Below are 20,323 nucleotides of genomic sequence, written 5' to 3'. Positions count from 1 at the left end.
TCAAAAAACCAAAGAGTCAGCCAGGTGCGGTGGCTCATGCCTGTAATCCCAACATTTTGGGAGGCCGAGGCGGGTGGATCACCTGAGGTCAGGAGTTCGAGACCAGCCTGGTCAACATGGTGAAACCCCGTCTCTACTAAAAATACAAAAAAAATTAGCTGGGCACGGTGGCAGATGCACATAATTCCAGCTACTTGGGAGGCTGAGGCAGGAGAATCACTTGAACTCGGGAGGCGGAGGTTTCAGAGAGCCAAGATCATGCCATGGCACTTCAGCCTGGGCAACAAGAGCAAAACTCCGTCTCACAAAGAAAAAAAAGGCCAGGCGCGGTGGCTCACACCTGTAATCCCAGCACTTTGGGAGGCTGAGGTGGGCTGATCACGAGGTCAGGAGATCAAGACCGTCCTGGCTAACACGGTGAAACCCCCTCTCTACTAAAAAATACAAAAAATTAGCCAGGCGTGGTGGCGGGTGCCTGTAGTCCCAGCTACTCGGGAGGCTGAGGCAGGAGAATGGCGTGAACCTGGGAGGCGGAGCTTGCAGTGAGCCAAGATCGCACCACTGCACTCCAGCCTGGGCGACAGAGCGAGACTCTGTCTCAAAAAAAAGGGTCATTTTCTCATTCCCACTTCCAATCAAACTATCATCAAGTTCCATCTGTTCTACCACTGCAATATATCTCAAAGCAGTCCATTTCTGTCAATTTCCATTACTACCCCTTTCATACAAATCACTGTCAATATCTCTTGTCTAGACTTCAGCAGTAGCCACCTAATTGGTGTTCCTGTTTCCACTCGAGCCTCTTCTTATAACCCCATACTCCATAAAGAAGCCAAAGTGATCTCTATTGGCCAGGCATGGTGGCTCATGCCTATAATCCCAGCACTTTGGGAGGCCGAGGCGGGTGGATCGCTTGAGGTCAGGAGTTCAAGACCCGCCTGACCAACATGGCGAAACCCCGTCCCTACTAAAAATACAAATATTAGATGGGCTTGGTGGCGCAAGCCTGTAATCCCAGCTATTTGAGAGGTGAAGGCATGAGAATCACTTGAACCTGGAAGGCGGAGGTTGCAGTGAGCTGACATCATGCCACTGCACTCCAGCATGGGTGCCAGAGCGAGACACTGTCTCAAAAAAAAAAAAAAAAGTGATCTCTATCACATCAACTCAGACCACTTTACAACCCTACTTAAAAATCATTCCAGCCAGGCGCAGTAGCTCATGCCTGTAATCCCAGCACTTTGGGAGGTTGAGGCAGGTGGGTCACCTGTGGTCAGGAGTTCAAACCAGCCTGGTCAACATGGTGAAACTCCGTCTCTACTAAAAATACAAAAATTAGCCAGGCGTGGTGGTACGTGCCTGTAATCCCAGATATTCGGGAGGCTGAAACAGGAGAATCGCTTGAACCCAGGAGGCGGAGGTTGTGGTGAGCGGAGATTGCGCCATTGCACTCCAGCCTGGGCAACAAGAGCAAAACTCTGTCTCAAAAAAAAAAAAAAAAAAAAAAGCCATACTGCCCAAAGCAATTTACAGATTCAATGCTATTCTTGTTAAACTAACAATAACGTATCCATCAACAGATGAATGGATAAAGAAAATGTGGTAGATATACACAATGGGATATTATTCAACCATACAAAATAATGAAATTCTGTCATTTGTGGCTAGATGGATGGAAGTGGAGTACATTATGGTAAATGAAATAAGCCAAGCACAGAAAGACAAACATTGCATGTTCTCATGCATATGTGCGAGCTAAAAAAGTGGTTCTCATGGAGGTAGAGAGTAGAATGATGGTCATTGGAGGCTGGGAGAAGCGGGTGGGGGACAGGTATGAAGAGAGGTTGGTTAATGGGTCCAAAATACAGTCAGATAGACGGAATAAGTTCTAGTGTTTAATATCACAGTAGTGTGACTATAAGTAATAATTTATTGTATATTTCAAAGTGGCTAGAAGAGATTGGGGATGTTCTTAACATGAAAAAATGGTAAGTGTTTGAGTTGATAGATATCCCATTTACTCTAACTTGATCATTATATATTGTATGCTGTATCAAAATATCATGCGAATACCCCATATTAAAAAAATGAAACAACCAAAAAAAAGTCCTTTTTTTTTTTTTTTTTTTTGAGACAAGGTCTCACTCTGTCACCCAGGCTAGAGTTCAATGGAGCAATCACAGCTCACAGCAACCTTGACTTCCTAGGCTCATGTAATCCTCCCACCTCAACTTCCCAAGTAACTGAGAGCACAGGTGCATGCCACCAAACCCAGCTAAGTTTTTAAAATTTTATGTAAAGACAGCATCACACTATATTGCCAAGGCTGGTCTCAAACTCCTGGGCTCACGCAATCCTCCCACCTTGGCCTCCCAAAGTGCTGGGATTACAGGCATGCATCACAGTGCCCAGCCCCAGTGTCCTCTCTTGCTTGTTACTGATCTAGGGTCAATTTACTCCACCTCTTTGAGTTAAGCTTCTTCTCCTGTAAAACAGGGATAGTGATAACTAGTTTAGAGGCCTAACACATATATGTACATTATAGTCCAAGTCTGGTGAGTCATAAGTCTTCAATAATTGTTAATTCCTGGCCATAATAAAAAAAGTTAAAAAATAGATGTTGGCGTGGATGCGGTGAAAAGGGAACCCTTCTACACTGCTGATGGGAATGTAAAATAGTACAACTACTATGGAAAACAGTGTGGAGATTCCTTAAAGAACTAAAAGTAGAACCACCATTTGATCCAGCAATCCCACTACTGGATATCTACCCAGAGGAAAAGAAGTCATTATACAAAAAAAGGCACTTGTGCATGCATGTTTATAGCAGCAGAATTCGCAACTGCAAAAATATGGAACTAACCCAAACACCCATCAATCAATGAGTGGGTAAATAAACTGTGGCATATATATATACGATGAAATACTACTCAGCCATAAAAATGAATGAATTAATGGCATTTGCAGCAATCTAGGTGGGACTGGAGACTATTATTCTAAGTGAAGTAACTCAGGAATGAAAAAAAAAACATCGTATATTCTCACTCATAAGTGGGAGCTAAGCTGTGAGGATGCAAGGGCATAAGAATGACACAATGGACTCTGGGGACTCGGGGAAAGGGTGGGAAGGGGGTGAGGGATAAAAGACTACAAATTGGGTACAGTGTATACTGCTCGGGTGATGGGTGCACCAAAATCTCACAAATCACCACCAAAGAACTTACTCATGTAACCAAATAGCACCTGTTCCCCAAAAACCTATGGAAATAAAACATTGAAAATAATAAATAAATAAACAAATAAATAAATAATTGTTAATTATTTTTCCCTTTTAGCAATAAATCAATCTTCCTGAGGCTATTCCTTTCACCTTCCAGATGGGAATAATGGTGCCTAACCTTACAACCTCACAGGACTGCTTTGATAATCAAAGAGTCAATGTATATTGTGGTACTTAAAGAAAGAGGATAAGGCGGGAGCAGTGGCTCACACCTGTAATCCCAGCACTTAGGGAGGCCAGAGGGAGGATCACCTGAGGTCAGGAGTTCAAGACCAGCCTAACCAACATGGTGAAACCCATCTCTACTAAAAACACAAAAATTAGCTGGGTGTGGTGGCGGGTGCCTGTAATCCCAGCTACTCAGGAGGCTGAAACAGGAGAATTACTTGAACCCAGGAGGCAGAGGTTGCAGTGAGCCAAGATCATGCCATTGCACTCCAGCCTGGGTGACGAGAGTGAAACTCTGTCTCAAAAAAAAAGAAAAAAAAAAGAGGATAAGTTATTAAACAAAGGCAAGGCAAAACATTAGCATCATCATAATAATTATTATCATTGCAAATATTTATGACTGCACTTGACTCACTTGTCTTCATGAAGTTCAACATTACATCATAAAAGTCTTACATGACAATCTAGCCTGAGCTATTTTCCAAACTAAACTGGTCACTTATATGCTTTAACATTTTTCTTCAATAGTCAAATCTGTTTGTTTCCAAGAATCTATAAGACTTGTAAAAAGAGTTTTTGGTTGCCTTTCCTGAATTTAGTAAGCCTGTGTGCTATAGAGGGTTACAAAACAAAAAAAGTACCCAGTAATGTGTAAAAGGGAATTTTTATCCATCACCAAACAGGATTTATTCTAAGAATGCAAGGTTGGTTAAACATATGAACCTCAATTAATGGAATATACCATATCAGCAGAATAGAGGACAAAAACCACAAAACCATGTTTATAGATGCAGAAAAATGGTTTCACAACATCTAACACCCATTCATAATAGAAAACATTCGGCCAGGTGTGGTGGCTCACATCTGTAATCCCAGCACTTTGGGAGGCCGAGGTGGGCGGATCACCTGAGGTCAGGAGTTTGAGACCAGCCTGGCCAACATGGTAAAACCCCATCTCTACTAAAAATACAAAAATTAGCCGGGCGTGGTGGCGGGTACCCATAATCCCAGCTACTTGGGAGGCTGAGGCAAGAGAATTGCTTGAAACCGGGAGGTGGAGGTTGCAGTGAGCCAAGACTGCACTACTGCACTCCAGCCTGGGCAAGAAGAGCAAGATTCCATCAAAAAACACCACTCAACAAACTGGAAATAGAAGGGCAGTTCCCCAACCTGACAAACGACAAAGTGAAATGTTTCTCCCTACGATTAAGTGGCCATTCTTGCCATTTTTTTTTGACATAGTACCTGAGGTTCTAGGCAGTACAATTAGCAAGACAAAGAAAAGGCATTCAAATTTAAAAGGAAAAAACAAAACTTCTCTATTTGCAGAAGACATAATCTTGTATATGGAAAATCCTAAGGAATATACCAAAAAGCTATAAAAACTAATAAATGAGTTCAACATTATGAGATATAAGATCAATATACGGGTGCAGATCAATTGCATTTCTATATAATAGCAATAAGCAATCCAAAACTGAAATTAAGAAAAATATTCCATTTACGATAACATCAAAAAACACAGTACTTAGGAATAAATTTAGCCAAAGAAGTATAAAATTTATGATCTGAAAACTGCAAAACATTGTTGAAAAAACTGAAGACCTACATAAATGGAATGACATATGATGTTCATGCATTGGAAGACTTAATATTATTAAGATGGCAATACTACCCAAATTTCTACAGATTACAAGCCATTATCTATCAGAATCGCAGCTGGATCCGTTTTTTGTTTTGTTTTGTTTTTTTAGACAGAGTTTTGCTCTTTCGCCCAGGCTGGAGTGAAGTGGCACGACCTCAGCTCACCGCAACCTCCGCCCCCCAGGTTCAAGCGATTCTCCTGCCTCAGCCTCTCGAGTAGCTGGTAGCTGGGATTACAGGTGCATGCCACCACGCCTGGCTAACTTTTGTATTTTTAGTAGAGAAATGCCCAACATTTCACCATGTTGGCCAGACTGGTCCTGAACTCTTGACCTCAGGTGATCCACCCATCTCAGCCTCTCAAAGTGCTAGGATTACAGGTGTGAGCCACCATGCCCGGCCTGGATTCTTTATAGAAATTAATAAGCTGGTCCTAAAATTCATATGGAATTTCAAAGAACCAACAATAGCCAAAACAATCTTGAAAAAGAAGAACAAGTTGGGGAACTCACATTTTCTGATTTCAAAGCTTACTACAAAGCTATACGGATCAAGACAGCATTTACTGGCATGAGGATAGACATATAGATCCATAAAATAGAATTAAGAGTCCATACATCTATGGTCCATTGATTTTAGACAAGGGTGCCAAGACATTTTAATGGGAAAGAGTAGCCTTTTCAACAAATGGTGTGGGTACATTTGTGTACTCACACACACAAAAATGAAGTTGTATACTTAAATCACAACATATACAAGAGATAAAATTGATTTAAAAAACCCAAATATAAGAGTTAAAACTATAAAATTCTCAGACAAAACAGAGGAGTAAATCTTTGTAACCTTGGGTTAGGCAGTGATTTCTTAAGCTCTGACAACAAAAGCATAAGCAATAGGAAAAAAAAGTGAAATTTCATTTCATCAAAATTAAAAACCTTTGTAAATCAAAAGACATTAACAAAAAAGTGAAGACAACCCACAAAATTGGAGAAAACTTTTGCAAATTACATATTTGATAAAGGATTTGTATCTAGAATATAAAAAGAACCATTATAACTTGATAATAAAATCACAAATAAACTCATTAAAAAATGAGCAAAGGGCCAGGCATGGTGGCTCACACCTGTAACCCCAGCACTCTGGGAGGCCAACCTGGATGGACCATTTGAGCCCAGGAGCTCCAGACCAGCCTGGGCAATTTGGTGAAACCCTGTCTACAAAAAACGGTCAGGAGTGGTGGCGTGCGCTTGTAGTCCCAGCTACTCAGGAGGCTGAAGTGGGAGAATCAATTGAGCTCTGGAGTTCAAGGCTTCAGTAAGTTGTGATTGTGCCACTGGCCACTGCCCTCCATCCTGAGCTACAGAACGACCGTCTCAAAAAAAAAAAAAGAACAAGAAATATAAAAACTTTTTAAAAAATTTAAAATGAGCAGAGTCTGATAGACATTTCTCCAAAGAAAATATATAAATGTTCAATAAGCACATGAAAAGATGCTAAACATCAATAGCTACCATGGAAATGCAAATCAATACCACAATGAAATACCATTTCACACTTCCAGGATGGCTAGAACCAAAAAAACAGATAAAAAGTGTTAGGAAAGAGGTGGAGAAAATGGAACCCTCACATACTGCTGATGGGAATGTGAAATGGTGCTGCTACTTTGGAAAACAGTCTGGAAGTTCTTCCAGTGGTTAAACATAGAGTTACCATATGATCTAGTATTCCCACTCTTAAGTATATATACCAAAGGTATATATACCCAAGAGAAATGAAAACATATGTCCACACAAAACCTTTTATAAGAATACTTATTCATAATCACCAAAAAGTGAAAATAACAAAAATGTCCATCAATTGATAAATGAATAAAATGTGTCATATATATATATAGGAATATTATTTATCAGTAAAAACAAATAAAGTACTGATACATGCCATAAGATAGCTGAATGTTGAAAACATTATGCTAAGTGAAAGAAGCCAGTCCGGGCACTGTGGCTCATGCCTGTAATCCCAGCACTATGGGAGGCCAAGCAGATTACCTGAGGTCAGGAGTTAGAGACCAACCAGCCTGGCCAACATGGTGAAACCCTGTCTCTACTAAAAATACAAAAAATTAGCGGGGCATGGTGACACATGCCTCAGGAGGCTGAGGCAGGAGAATCGCTTGAACCCAGGAGGCAGAGGTTGCAGTAAGCCGGGATGGCACCACTGCACTCCAGCCCAGGCGACAGAGCAAGACTGTCTCAAAAAAAGAAAAAGAAAGAAGCCAGTCACAGAAGACCACATATTGTGTGATTTCATTGATTTGAAACTTCTAGAGGCCAGGCCGGGTGGGTCACGCCTGTAATCCCAGCACTTTGGGAGGATGAGGCTGGTGGATCACGAGGTCAGGAGTTCGAGACCAGCCTGACCAACATGGTGAAACCCCGTCTCTACTAAAAATACAAAAAAATTAGCCAGGCATGGTGGCACGTGCCTGTAATCCCAGCTATCGGGGGCTGAGGCAGGAGAATAGCTTGAACCCGGGAGGCGGAGGTTGCAGTGAGCCAAGATCGCGCCATTGCACTCCAGCCTAGACAACAGAGCGAGACTCCATCTCAAAAAAAAAGAAACTTCTAGAATAGGCAAATACATAGATATGTAAAGTAGATTAGTGTTTGCTTAAGACTGGGAGGTGGGAGGCCCTGGGGAATGATGGCTAAGGGGTGTGATGTTTCTTTTGGGAATAATGAAAATGTTCTAAAATTGATGATGGTGATGGATGCACAGCTCTATGAATAAACTAAAAGCCTTTGAACTGTATATTTGTTTTTTGTTGTTCTTGTTTTTTTTTTTTTTTTCTTTTTTTGAGATGGAGTCTTGCTCTGTCACCTGGGCTGGAGTGCAGTGGTGCCATCTCGGCTCACTGCAACCTCTGCCTGCTGGGTTCAAGCGATTCTCATGCCTCAGCCTCCTGAGTAGCTGGGACTACAGGCACGTGCCACCACGCCCGGCTAATTTTTTTGTGCTTTTAGTAGAGACGGGCTTTCCCCATGTTGGCCAGGCTGGTCTCAAACTCCTGACCTCAAGTGATCTGCCCGCCTTGGCCTCCCAAAGTGCTGCGATTACAGGCGTGAGCCACCCCGTGCCTGGCTTCATCATACTATTCTACCTTTGTTATGTTTGACATTTTCCATAACAAAAGGTAGATTTTTTTTTAAAGTAACAAGGTGCTAATGCTACGGTAAGGAGTTACAAGGCCAAAATATAGAAGATGATAACCCAAAGAAGTAAGTCTAATACTCAAAATCACTTTTGGCCTGAGGGAATTTGCCAATCCAGAGGAATTTGCTACCAAAGTGAACTGTACTTCCACGGTCTCAAAGAACTAAGGTAATTAAATTCAGAGCACAGGGTTTTCCAAAATTGGGAACTCTTATAAATCATGCCCCACTTTAAACTTGGAAACCCAATGGGCTATACCTTCAAGATAAGACATAACCAGAAGTAAATTAGTCCTCTCACAAGCTTGCAGTCTAACCTCCTATAGTTCAGGGAATCTCAGACACAGAACTTGGATTAGGGTAGTACCAGACAAAGAACACCACTGGGTACCAGTGAGAAGCAAAGAAAAGTCCTCTGTGCAGAAATATATCATTTCAGTGTTCAAATTATTTCTATAAAATAATATTCCAAGTATCCAGCACATCGTCAAAGATAACCAGGCACACAAAGAAACTAAGCAGTATGAGGAAGAAGCACACACACACACACACACAAAAGCAGGCAACAGAAACAGACATTCAAAAACTTCAGACATTGGAATTATCAAATACAGATTATAAAACAATGCTTACTAAGTTTAAAGAAAGGAAAACACTGGATGGAAAAAACAAAAAGCAATAGAAATGGTTATCTCAAGGCAGAAGATGGTAAAAGATGGAAGAGGAAAGGACAGAAGTGAGATTTTCATAGTATAGAATTATGTAAATTTTTACATATTTCAAAATAAAATTAAATAAAAAAAAAAAGTAGCCAGGCACAGTGGCGCACACCTTTAATCCCAGCACTTTGGGAGACTGAGGCAGGCATCTCGCTTGAACTCAGGAGTTTGAGACCAGCCTGGACAACATGGCGAAACTCCATCCCTACAAATACAAAAAAACTAGCCAGGAGCGTTGGCGCACGCCTGTAGTCCCAGCTACTTGGGAGGCAGAGATGGGAGGATCACTTGAGCCCCCAAGGTCAAGGCTGTAGTGAGCCGAGATTGCGACACTGCACTCCATCCTGGGGGACAGAGAGTGAGAATGACAACTTGTCTTAAAAAAAAAAAATAATAAGGCAATCTGTAAAACATGAAAACAAACAGAAACAACAAATGTACCTAACTGCATGTAAAATACAGTATGTGCACCTTACGTTTGTAGAAGGATTTAGTGCAGGGGGAAAAAGACCTGCAAACATTTAAAATTTCATCTAGTAGCCTCATATTAGTAGTAACATTAATATTATTAATTTGACACAGGTTATTGTATATTGTATGATAAATCAAGTTATTATGAAGGTAAGAAAAGAGAAAAAGACAAGAAATATCAGAAAATCACTATAATGTCTCTGAAATTCTTCTACGTAGTTAAAAAATATAATTCTTATTCAAATATTCTAATCAATCAATATGGTTTCAGAGGCTTATGTATTATTTTCCTCAGCATCTAGTCCTTGACTACATTTCAAAACCTCATCTCCTATCATGTTATAGTCTAGCCCAGTGGCTCTCAACTCTTGTTGTATATCAGAACTATTTAAAAGGTGGGTCCTGAATGTCACCCTAGAGTTATTAAATCGGAGTCTCAGCATGGGAGCAGCCAAGGATGTACACTTTGAAAAAGCACCACTGGCCGGGCGCGGTGGCTCATGCCTATAATCTCAGCACTTTGGGAGGCCGAGGCAGGCAGATCACCTGAGGTCAGGAGTTCAAGACCACCCTGGCCAACATGGCAAAACCCTGTCTCTACTAAAAATATAAAAATTAGCCAGGCGTGGTGGTGGGCACTTGTAATCCCAGCTATTCGGGAGGCTGAGGCAGGAGAATTGCTTGATCTTGGGAGGCAGAGGTTGCAGTGAGCCAAGATCGCACCACTGCACTCTAGCCTGGGCGACAGAGCGAGACTCTATCTCAAAAAAAAAAAAAAAAAGAAGAAGCACCACTGACAATTCTGCTGCTCAGCCAGTGTAGAATCACTGCTCTAGCCCTACAATTCTGCCTCATGTTCCTCAAACATGACAGGCTCTAACACAGAGTTCAGCCAACCACGGCCCAAAGCCCAAACTCTAGCTCAACACCTGTTTTGTAAATAAATTTTTTACTGGAATACAACTATAGCCATCTGTTTATGCTTTGTCTACAGCTGCTTTCATGCTACAATGATAAAGTTGAGTACTCTTGACACAGACCACGTGGCCTGTAAAATCTAAAATATTTACAATCTGGCCCTCTACAAGAAAAGTCTGCTGACTTCTGTTCTATCTTTGCTCTGCATCTTTGTACTTTTCCTCAAACTCTGCTCCTATCTTGACAAGCTCATGTTCGTGCTTCAAAATTCCAATCAGCATCATTTCTGCAAATCCTGAACTTAGCGCCCCTTTATATTTTTTCATCATCCTCTATACTTTCCCCTATTACATCACTTATTATTGTTTTTTCTAAGATGTCTGTTTAATGACTGCCTCCCTGACTAGATGTTAAGCTCTCTGAGGACAACACTCAGAGTGTCTTATTCACTGTAGTGCCTGGTTCATTGTATACATATATTAAAATTTATTCAATGAATATCTCCCCCACCCTGCACACTTTTTTTTCATTTTGTTAGATTTCTCAATGTTCCCGTCTGTTAAGGGAATCCTGAGTCCAAATTCTTTCAGGGTATTTGTAATTCCACCCTGTTGTCTCATCCATGCATTTCAGATACCACCATTTGAGTTCTTCTCCATGTCACACACACATAATGTTGAAAGTGACAGGGCTGAGAATGAAGTCCTGAAAGGACACACACAAACATAAACCCTCCTCCACCTGCCTGCATATTGATATCAATCCATTAAATCAGCAGTCTTTGACTAAGACTCTAATTGTACTATTAACTAACCTACATATTCTATCTTGTCTAGAAGGATTTTATGAGAGCTTCCACATCTATGAAGCGTTTCCTTACATGGCACCACCTCTACCCAGGCAGGACTGGACTAATCACTCCCCCATCTTTCTTACAACTGAACCTTTTCTCATTTTGCCACACTGTATTATAGTAATTTGTTTACAAGTCTGTCTCTGTTACAAGCTCAAGCTCTCTTAGAGGACAGAAACTTACTTAAATTAACTGGAATCCCTGAGCCTAGCACAATGCCCAAAATTTAGTTGTTACTTAAAAAAAATTACTAAACACACGTCTTACAATTCAGACACATTAAATTTATGGCACTTCCTATTTCTGCCACCACAGTATTAAGATACAAAATCTAAAAATTCTTTAAATACCCTTACCTGTAGCAAAAAGGAAACAGCGTAACTCAAGAAAGAAGGATGATGGACTACATTTAAACTGTTTTTATATTCAGCCACTCCAGTTTTTTCTAGGATTTCAGGGTCAATATATATTCCTTTCCCAAAGGGTTTGGACGTCCACAGGCAACCAACCATTGATGTCAAATAGTGATTAAATTCTTGATAAGTCTTGCTGCTGAAATTGAACTCTGATTTTGTCTAATGGGAAAGAAATAAAAAATTGTCACTATCACCTATTCTCCCTTTCCTTCTTACTCCCATCAGGTCATATATATCTAGACTTAATTTTTAAACAACAGTGATTTAACACAGAGCTTTCTCATTCATACCTTTTGTACCAACTCATTTTTCTTTGCGGCAGTCAAATTTTTACGATATCTAACAGAAAAAACAAACAGAATGAAACATTTAACATGCCTTTGAATATAATGCCTTTGAAATGGTAAAATTTAAAAAAAACATACATTTTAAATGTAAATATATGCAAATGTGCATATACACAAATATCCAGTTGTCTAGTTAAGGATTTTATCCTTTTGTGATACATTCTCCTCAAGTGAAAATAGAGGCTCAATAAGTTGTACACTTAAGATGTGTAGTTGACTAAATAAAAAATAAGCAATGAAAAATGCTTTCAATGTTTCACTATTAAAAATGTAATAGAGTTCTCACTCATAAATGGGAGTTGAACAATGAGAACACATGGACACAGGGAGGAGAACATCACACACTGGGGCCTGTCGGGGGTCGGGGGTCAAGGGGAGGAAGAGCATTGAGACAAATACCTAATGCATGCAGGTCTTAAAACCTAGATGATGAGTTGATAGGTGCAGCAAACCACCATGGCACATGTATACCTATGTAACAAACCTGCACGTTCTGCACATGTATCCCAGAACTTAAAGTAAAATAATAAAAAAAAAATTAACAGAGGCTCAAAAGCAGTCAGTCACTGATATAGAACATGTTTTCCTAATGTAAAAAAAAGGTGCAGCAGAAAGGATAAACAGGAAATTCTTGTCTGAGAACTATTAACAACTAATTAGTTTTTAAACATTTTAACCTTGACATAGTCCTACAAGTTATGCCAAGAAGGTCTACACTAAGCTGAGCATGGTGGCTCACGCCTGTAATCCCAGCACTTTGGGAGGCCGAGGTGGGTGGATTACCTGAGGTCAGGAGTTCGAGACCAGCTTGGCCAACATGGTGAAACCCCATCTCTACTAAAAATACAAAAAATTAGCCAGGCGTGGTGGCGGGCGCCTGTAATCCCAGCTACTCGGGAGGCTGAGGGGGGAGAATCGCTTGAACCCGGGAGGCAGAGGTTGCAGTGAGCCGAGATCATGTCACTGCACTCCAGGGTGATAAGAGCAAAACTCCATCTCAAAAAAAAAGTCTACGCTTATGGACTGAAGAAAGTAATTTCAGTCCACAAGTGAAAGAATTAGAGGAGACCAGAAATAATACTTACAGTTTCATATAATTGGCAATAGCTCCCCTTATCGCCCAGAAAATGTTATTTTTACCAGAGAAGCTACAAACACTTCAAGCAATTATCACCAAATGACTAATTTTTCCTGAAGACACAGCAATTAGAATGAACAATGCTGAGTGCAACAGTACCATTGCACAACAAGTCCTTAACTATGAATTTTTTTTTATTCTGTAGCCACAGCAGTGGAGGATTTAAAAAACACAGCTACCATGGCCCCATATCGGAAGGTCATGTCCAAAAGCAAGCCACATTTCCTATTTCCAGAGGCCCTGGCAGAAGACGAGTAGGAATATTTATTGTATTATAGCTGAAAGAGGAAGAGAGAATTATAATACACTGTTTCATAAAATGGTAAAAAGGCTTTGTACCTGTGCATAATAAAACACAGCTGGTTCAGGATGCTGGTATCCAGGCTGAGGAGTGCAGAATAGAAGATCCCAGGAGGAAACAATACCACTAATGGAAGGTTATAATTTATATATATGTCACACACCTTGGAGGAAGAATGATAACATCAGTATACAGAGTATTCCCCAGAACTCCTCAACTAAGTTCACCCAAAGAATCATCAGTACAAGATAAGCAATAACATAACATTAGCTTTGGACATGCCTGACTCCTAAATAAACATCTACAAGCTGGCTTAAAATATACTTCACCAAACATCAGCCACACTATAGAGGATTATTTCCAGAAGGCCATTACTCAAATCTTTCATTTTTTGGGGGGAAAGGTCTTAAAGTTAGGGGGACAGGGTAGATTAAGGAAGTATTTCTTTATCCTTAAGTCCCATAATATTTACTTACCATGTGAGTTAGCTGTCAACCTAGAAAACAAAGGAGCATGCTTCTAAGCAAATGCATAACACAAGACAACTAGGTATTAGTAAAGAGAGGAAGCTGGGAAAAGTGAGACTATAATGGATACTTCATGGATAATATTAAATTGGTGCAAAAGTAACTGCAGTTTTTGCTATTGTTTTCAATGGCAAAAACTGCAATTACTTTTGCACCAACCTATAGTTCTGTCCAGGTCATATACTATAAAACAATAAAAGCGTACTAGGTAGCAAGAGAAGTAAGGCAGCTGAAAGGTAGAAATGGAGATCTGAAGAAACAACAAGATATTTTTGGTTTCTGCCAGGAGTTGGGAATGGGATGAACAAAAAATAATGCTAACAATAGACTTCTCTCTAGGGCCAGTATTAACACAGGTCAATGTAGTGGTACCTGGCCCTAAATAAAAGCAATTGTTTTTCCACTTTGTTTATGAAAGTCAGTTATTCTGGTGAGAAAATAATCATGAACTTCAAAATGTGAGGTTATTTTAATGATGCTAATAAGATCATAGCCCACCTTAATGGTTGTGCATGAAATTTAAATAATAAGCCAATAAAGTGGATAGCCTTCACATAAATCCAAATGGGGAAAATGTAATGTGTACTACCTTCTCATAGAAATCCAAAATAAAGTGCAGCAAGAAAGTATTGTTGCTCTCCAAGCGCATTGCAGTAGTGGATAGCCACCCTACATAGTGGATCAGTTTAGACACAGAGTTCATGGATCCACCCAAAGTTGTCTCTCTGCAATAAGAAACCATAACATTCAGATATAGAGTAGCAATAGTGTTCACAATTTCCAAGCTAAAGCTGAATAATATAAAGCAAAATGTTGGTGAGGATTTTAAAAACTATCAGTGCTCCAACGTATAATTCACTTTTTAAAAAATCACAGTGAGTAATCATAAAACTACACTTAGCCCTCCAGGGAACCATTAAGACGAATTCATAGAACATTCTAAGCAATCAGACTCTACTAGTAAATACCAGAGAAATAAAGTATTAAGCTCCAAGCAGATATGAAAATTCTCAAGTGAGATATATAAAAACCATTAAAAAATAGGTATTCCATTAAAAGTTAAGTGGAGAAAAAAAGTTCACATAAAAGTGACATGAAAAATTCAGGGCCGGGCAGAGTGGCTCACACCTGTAATTCCAGCACTTAGGGAGGCGAAGGTCGGGGGCTCTCTTGAATCCAGGAGTTTAAGACCATTCTGGGCAACATGGCAAAAGCCCGTCTTTACAAAAAATACAAAAATTAAGTGCGGTGGTGGCACATGCCTATAGTTCCAGCTACTCAAGACGCTGAGGTGGGAGGATCACTTGAGCCTGTGAGGCAAAGGTTGCAGTGAGCGAGAGTGCACCACCTCACTCTAGCCTGAGTGACAGAGCAAGACTGTTTCAAAAAAAAAAAAAAAAAATTCAGGCGAGGTGCAGTGGCTCACACCTGTAATCCCAGCACTTTGGGAGGCCAAGGCAGTCGGATCACTTGAGGTCAGGAGTTCGAGACCAGCCTGGCCAACATGGTGAAACCCTGTCTCTACTAAAAATACAAAAATTAGCCAGGTGTGATGGTGGGTGCCTATAATCCCAGCTGCTTGGGAAGCTGGGGCAGGAGAATTGCTTCAGGAGGTGGAGGTTGCAGTGAGCCAAGATCATGCCATTGCACTCCAGCCTGAGCAACAGAACAAGACCCTGTCTCAAAAAAAAAAAAAAAAAAGAAAAAGAAAATATTCAGGATAAAATGTGAAAACGGACAAAATGATACAGTAAACTAGAAAAAATGAGAACTAATTTATCCCAACCAAATCAAAAGTGATTTAAAGGAATAAACATTAAAATGACTTCAGGAATCGTTTCCTATACTGTTAGTAACATTGCAACACAGATTGAAGGAAACCTACAGTACACAAATCAAAACTCAGTTTTGCCTGAATTCCTGAGCTAAAATGCTGTTAAACATATTTTCACTTGAATTTGGCTGGGGGCAGTGGCTCACGCCTGTAATCCCAGCACTTTGGGAGGCTGAGGCAGGCGGATCACCTGAGGTCAAGAGTTTAAGACCAGCCTGGCCAAGATGGTGAAACCCCATCTCTACTAAAAATACAAAAATTAGCCAGGTGTGGTGGTGCACGCCTGTAATCCGTTACTTGGGAGGCTGAGGCAGGAGAATCCCTTGAACCCAGGAGGTGGAGGTTGCAATGAGCCAAGATCGTGCTATCGCACTTCAGCCTGGCCTGGGCGACAGAGTGAGACTCCATCTCAAAATATATATATGTATATTTTTTTTTCACTTGAATTCAATTCAACCCTAAAAGGGAATTAGCAAAATTTTTGGCATCTTTTATTCTTCTAGCAAAAAACAGATCTAGCTATTTTATATTCTCCCTGGATCAATGAATGGAGTCTCTTACAGTACCTATGGGTATTAGTTCAATCCATCCATCTACTCACCCCTGTCCTTCAATCCAATGTTAAATGGATTAGGAAAAGACTTACAAATTTGAATTCATAGCTTTGCCCTCCTATCTAGGTAGTCAACAATGGTTACGCATAAGGAAAAGAACATGTATAATCTTAGAGTTTCAGAGATGATGATGACTCTACTACTGCCCACCACCATGATACTTCAGTGCCAAGGCAATCAAGGAAGGATCAGGAGACCATTCAAATAGGCGAGCATCTACACATAGCCAGCTGGCTATTTGCAAAACTATATGCTTTTTTTTTTTTTTTTTGAGATGGAGTCTCACTCTGTCGCCCAGGCTGGAGTACAGTGGCGCAATCTCAGCTCACTGCAATCTCCTCCCAGGTTCAAGCAATTCTCGTGCCTCAGCCTCCTGAGTAGCTGGGATTACAGGCGTGCACCACCACACCCAGCTAACTTTTGTATTTTTACTAGAGACAAGGTTTCACCATGTTGGCCAGGCTGGTCTGGAATTCCTGACCTCAAGTGATCCGCTGGCCTCAGCCTCTCAAAGTGCTGGGATTACAGGCATAACTGTATCTTAACTATGATTTTTGGTAGCACTTGGCAACTGTGTCTGAAATAATTTGAAACAAAGACGATTGCTCAGAACAGCCTCTTTTGAAGTGTTTCTCCACAAGACACTATCGGCATTTTGGATGAAACAATTCACTGTTCAGGACTGCCTCCTACTTCCCACCCACTGAAGCACATTGAGCATCCCCATCTCCCACATACTAAATGATGGTTGCAACCTCTTCCCAGTCGCTGTGACAACCAGAAATGGCCCCCTTCGAGAACCACTGTTGAGAAGTTTTCTACCCTTCTCTTTTTATGATATATAACTACAATTTACTCCCTTTTTGACAGTGATATGGCATATGGTCACATGATAAAAATAGGGCATTATACCTACACTTAATAAAAAGAATTATTTAAAACTTGAGCTATACTATATAATGCCAAATATTGATATGGCAAGCAAAATTATCCACATGTATCACCATTTTTATAAGAATTTTAGAAAACAGAATTCCTTTTTAAATTGTCTGCCTTAACTTATGACACTAATAAAAGAGGAATCCGAAGATTTTTGAAAAGATAATACAGAAATTGTAAGGCAGCTATTTCAGGGGTATCAGAGACTTACACTGCAAGTTGGCCAAATATTATAGATGCAAACCTACTATTTTGTTAAATCTCCTGCTGATCCAGGGAATAGAGAACGAACAAATATGGGTCCAGGCTCAGCAGCCCACAGAAGGGAATGCAGGTTAGGGAGAACCACAAGTAAAAGAGAGGAATTTCAGACTGGATGTGGTGGCTCACACCTGTGATCCCAATATTTTGGAAGGTCAAGGCAGGAGGATAGCTTGAGCCTAGAAGTTGAAGACCAGCCTGGACAACACAGTGAGACCTTGTCTCTACAACAAATAAAAAAATTAGCCAAGCGTGGTGGTGCACGCTTGTGGTCAGAGCTACTCAGGGGCTGAGGTGGGAGGATTGCTTGAGCCTGGGAGGTCGAGGCTGCAGTGAGCAAAGACTGCGTCACTGTACTCCTGGGAGACAGAGCAAGACCCTGTCTCAATAAAAAAGGGGGGGGCAGGTGGAGGTAATTTCAAACGTACTATTCTTAATGTAATTTAGGTAGAAGAGATTAAATGTTTAAGTGGAATTTCTTTATAATAGTGGTTCTTGGCCAGGCGCAGTGGCTCACACCTGTAATCCCAGCACTTTGGAAAGCTGAGGCGGGCAGATCACAAGGTCAAGAGATCGAGACCATCCTGGCCAGCATGGTGGAACCCCATCTCTACTAAATAAACCCCATCTCTACTTAGCTGGATATGGTGGCACATGCCTGTAATCCCAGCTGCTTGGGAGGCTGAGGCAGAAGAATCATTTGAAGCTGGGAGGTGGAGGTTGAGGTGAGCCAATATTGTGCCACTGCACTCCAGCCTGGGTGACAGAGTAAGACTGTCTCAAAAAATATATATATATATGTAGGAGAAGGCAAAGATTTTAGGTAGAAAGAGTCAAAACAACCTGATTATGCAGTTCCTTGAAATTTAGTCTTTTACTTTTACTTTGAAGGTAAAGCACACATTTAACAATTTAGGGCTCTTATTTTAAACTCCAAAGTTAAGATAAATTAACACATATAACCAAAATACAGCACAGAAACATAAAAACAAAGTTGTACGCAAAATTACGTTAGAGATTTTTCTAGCCATCATGAAAATTGGCTTTAAATATAAGAATATAATTTATAAAATGAGTTAAACTGAATGGAAGTCAAAGTTGCAAATTCTAGTCTCATCTCTCTAGTGTTTTGTTATATTAACTCTTGAAAGAAGTCATTTAGCAGATAAGGGTTGCTTTCTGATTTACACAATAGGAACTTAGAGAATTAGCCTTCCTTTCAGGATTGTGGGGGAAGAAGAGTGAAAAGTCACAAAAAAGTCTTCCAAAAAAGTACTACTAAGCATTTACATGAAAAAAATTGTTTCACGCCACACTATTAAACATATGCAAACATTTGTATACAGATCGTCTCTTGTGGAAGACCGTTAGATAACTCACAGAGGACTGTTTGTAACAGGTTTCATGTGAATGTCCATAGAAAGCCACAACAGCCAATTCTGCAATAGCTCTTTCAGACTCTGAAGCACACTACACTGAGGGGGACAAAATGAAAAAAGATTTCATGAAATCATTCAGACATAACAGTGTTCAGAACTAACAGAGGCTTAGAGATGAAAAGGACCATGGAGATGACCACATCAAATTTTGAACCCAACAGCTGCTTCTACACCATGATTAGTCTCCAGAAGACAGACGAATGCCAAGTACAAGTTTATTTTGCCATTTTCTCTACAAGAAACATACCTCAACAGGACTGCCTAACTTATCAGCCTAGAACAGACCTTTCTCTAAATTACATCAATTTATAACAACTATTACATCATCAAATAAAAACAGCATCTTTATCATCCCCCCTCAGAGAACTTTTGAAGTTGCTACAGATATGAATTTCTCTCCCTTTTTACCTTGTGGTCTACAATTACAATTTGCCACCTTTTTGATGGTCATAAAAATTTATCTTATCTTCTGTGACTTTGAAAAAAAAAGCAATTCTAGTCTTTCTTTTCTCAGGCCTTGCCTTGATTTCCCAAGCCTCAATCACATACAAAAACATACAATGATGGGCTGGGTGCGGTGGCTCACGCCTGTAATCCCAGCACTTTGGGAGGCCGAGGCGGGCGGATCAGAAGGTCAGCAGATCGAGACCATCCTGGCTAACGCGGTGAAACCCCGTCTCTACTAAAAATACAAAAAAAATTAGCCAGGCGTGGTGGCGGGCGCCTGTAGTCCCAACTACTTGGGAGGCTGAGGCAGGAGAATGACGTGAACCCAGGAGAAGGAGCTTGCAGTGAGCCAAGATCGTGCCACTGCACTCCAGCCTGGGTGACAGAGTGAGACTCTTTCTCAAAAAAAAAAACAAAAAACAAAAAAAAAAAAACATACAATAATGACATAAATTCGTCCAGGGCATTTATGATGATAAACCGTAATATCTATAAATTTGAAAGCAATCCATACCATCCCAAAATCTAATACAGCAAACCTTTCTTAAAAATTCTTACTACATAATGGTCTACTAATCATTTGAGTGTTTCCAGTAATAGAGTGCTCACTGCTACTTCAGAGAAAAGTTCAATTAATATACTTTTTGACAACTCACATTCAGGTTAGAAGTATGTTCTAGTTGAAAGCAACTCTGGAATCATCTAAGACAATAGTCTACTTTGGTGTCAACCAAGGAATTTTATCATTTGAAGATATTCAACATTACAATGTTATATTATCTTTTTTTAATATTTTAT

General features: G+C 40.3%; 1 protein-coding gene across 16 annotated transcripts in view; it reads right to left on the bottom strand.

The window, feature by feature from the left end:
• Positions 1-20,323, bottom strand: part of CENPI (centromere protein I) — an 83,656-nt gene that overhangs the window by 22,080 nt on the left and 41,253 nt on the right. For 15 of the 16 annotated variants that reach the window (XM_017029383.2, XM_047441951.1, XM_047441955.1 and 12 more), the window contains 5 exons: positions 19,020-19,114; positions 14,581-14,716; positions 13,503-13,627; positions 11,969-12,017; positions 11,619-11,837 (listed from right to left, as the gene is read on the bottom strand). In XM_017029383.2, the coding sequence (XP_016884872.1) occupies positions 11,619-11,837; positions 11,969-12,017; positions 13,503-13,627; positions 14,581-14,716; positions 19,020-19,114 (624 nt within the window). Of the gene's footprint in view, positions 1-11,618; positions 11,838-11,968; positions 12,018-13,502; positions 13,628-14,580; positions 14,717-18,489; positions 19,115-20,323 lie in introns of those variants that run through there. The other variant, NM_001318523.1, reaches the window with a different exon arrangement.

The sequence above is a fragment of the Homo sapiens genome, chromosome X (assembly GCF_000001405.40).
Source record: "Homo sapiens chromosome X, GRCh38.p14 Primary Assembly".
NCBI lineage: Eukaryota > Metazoa > Chordata > Mammalia > Primates > Hominidae > Homo > Homo sapiens.
The sequence above is the reverse complement of the archived record's forward strand: the minus strand, read 5'-3'. Positions and strand labels throughout refer to the sequence as shown.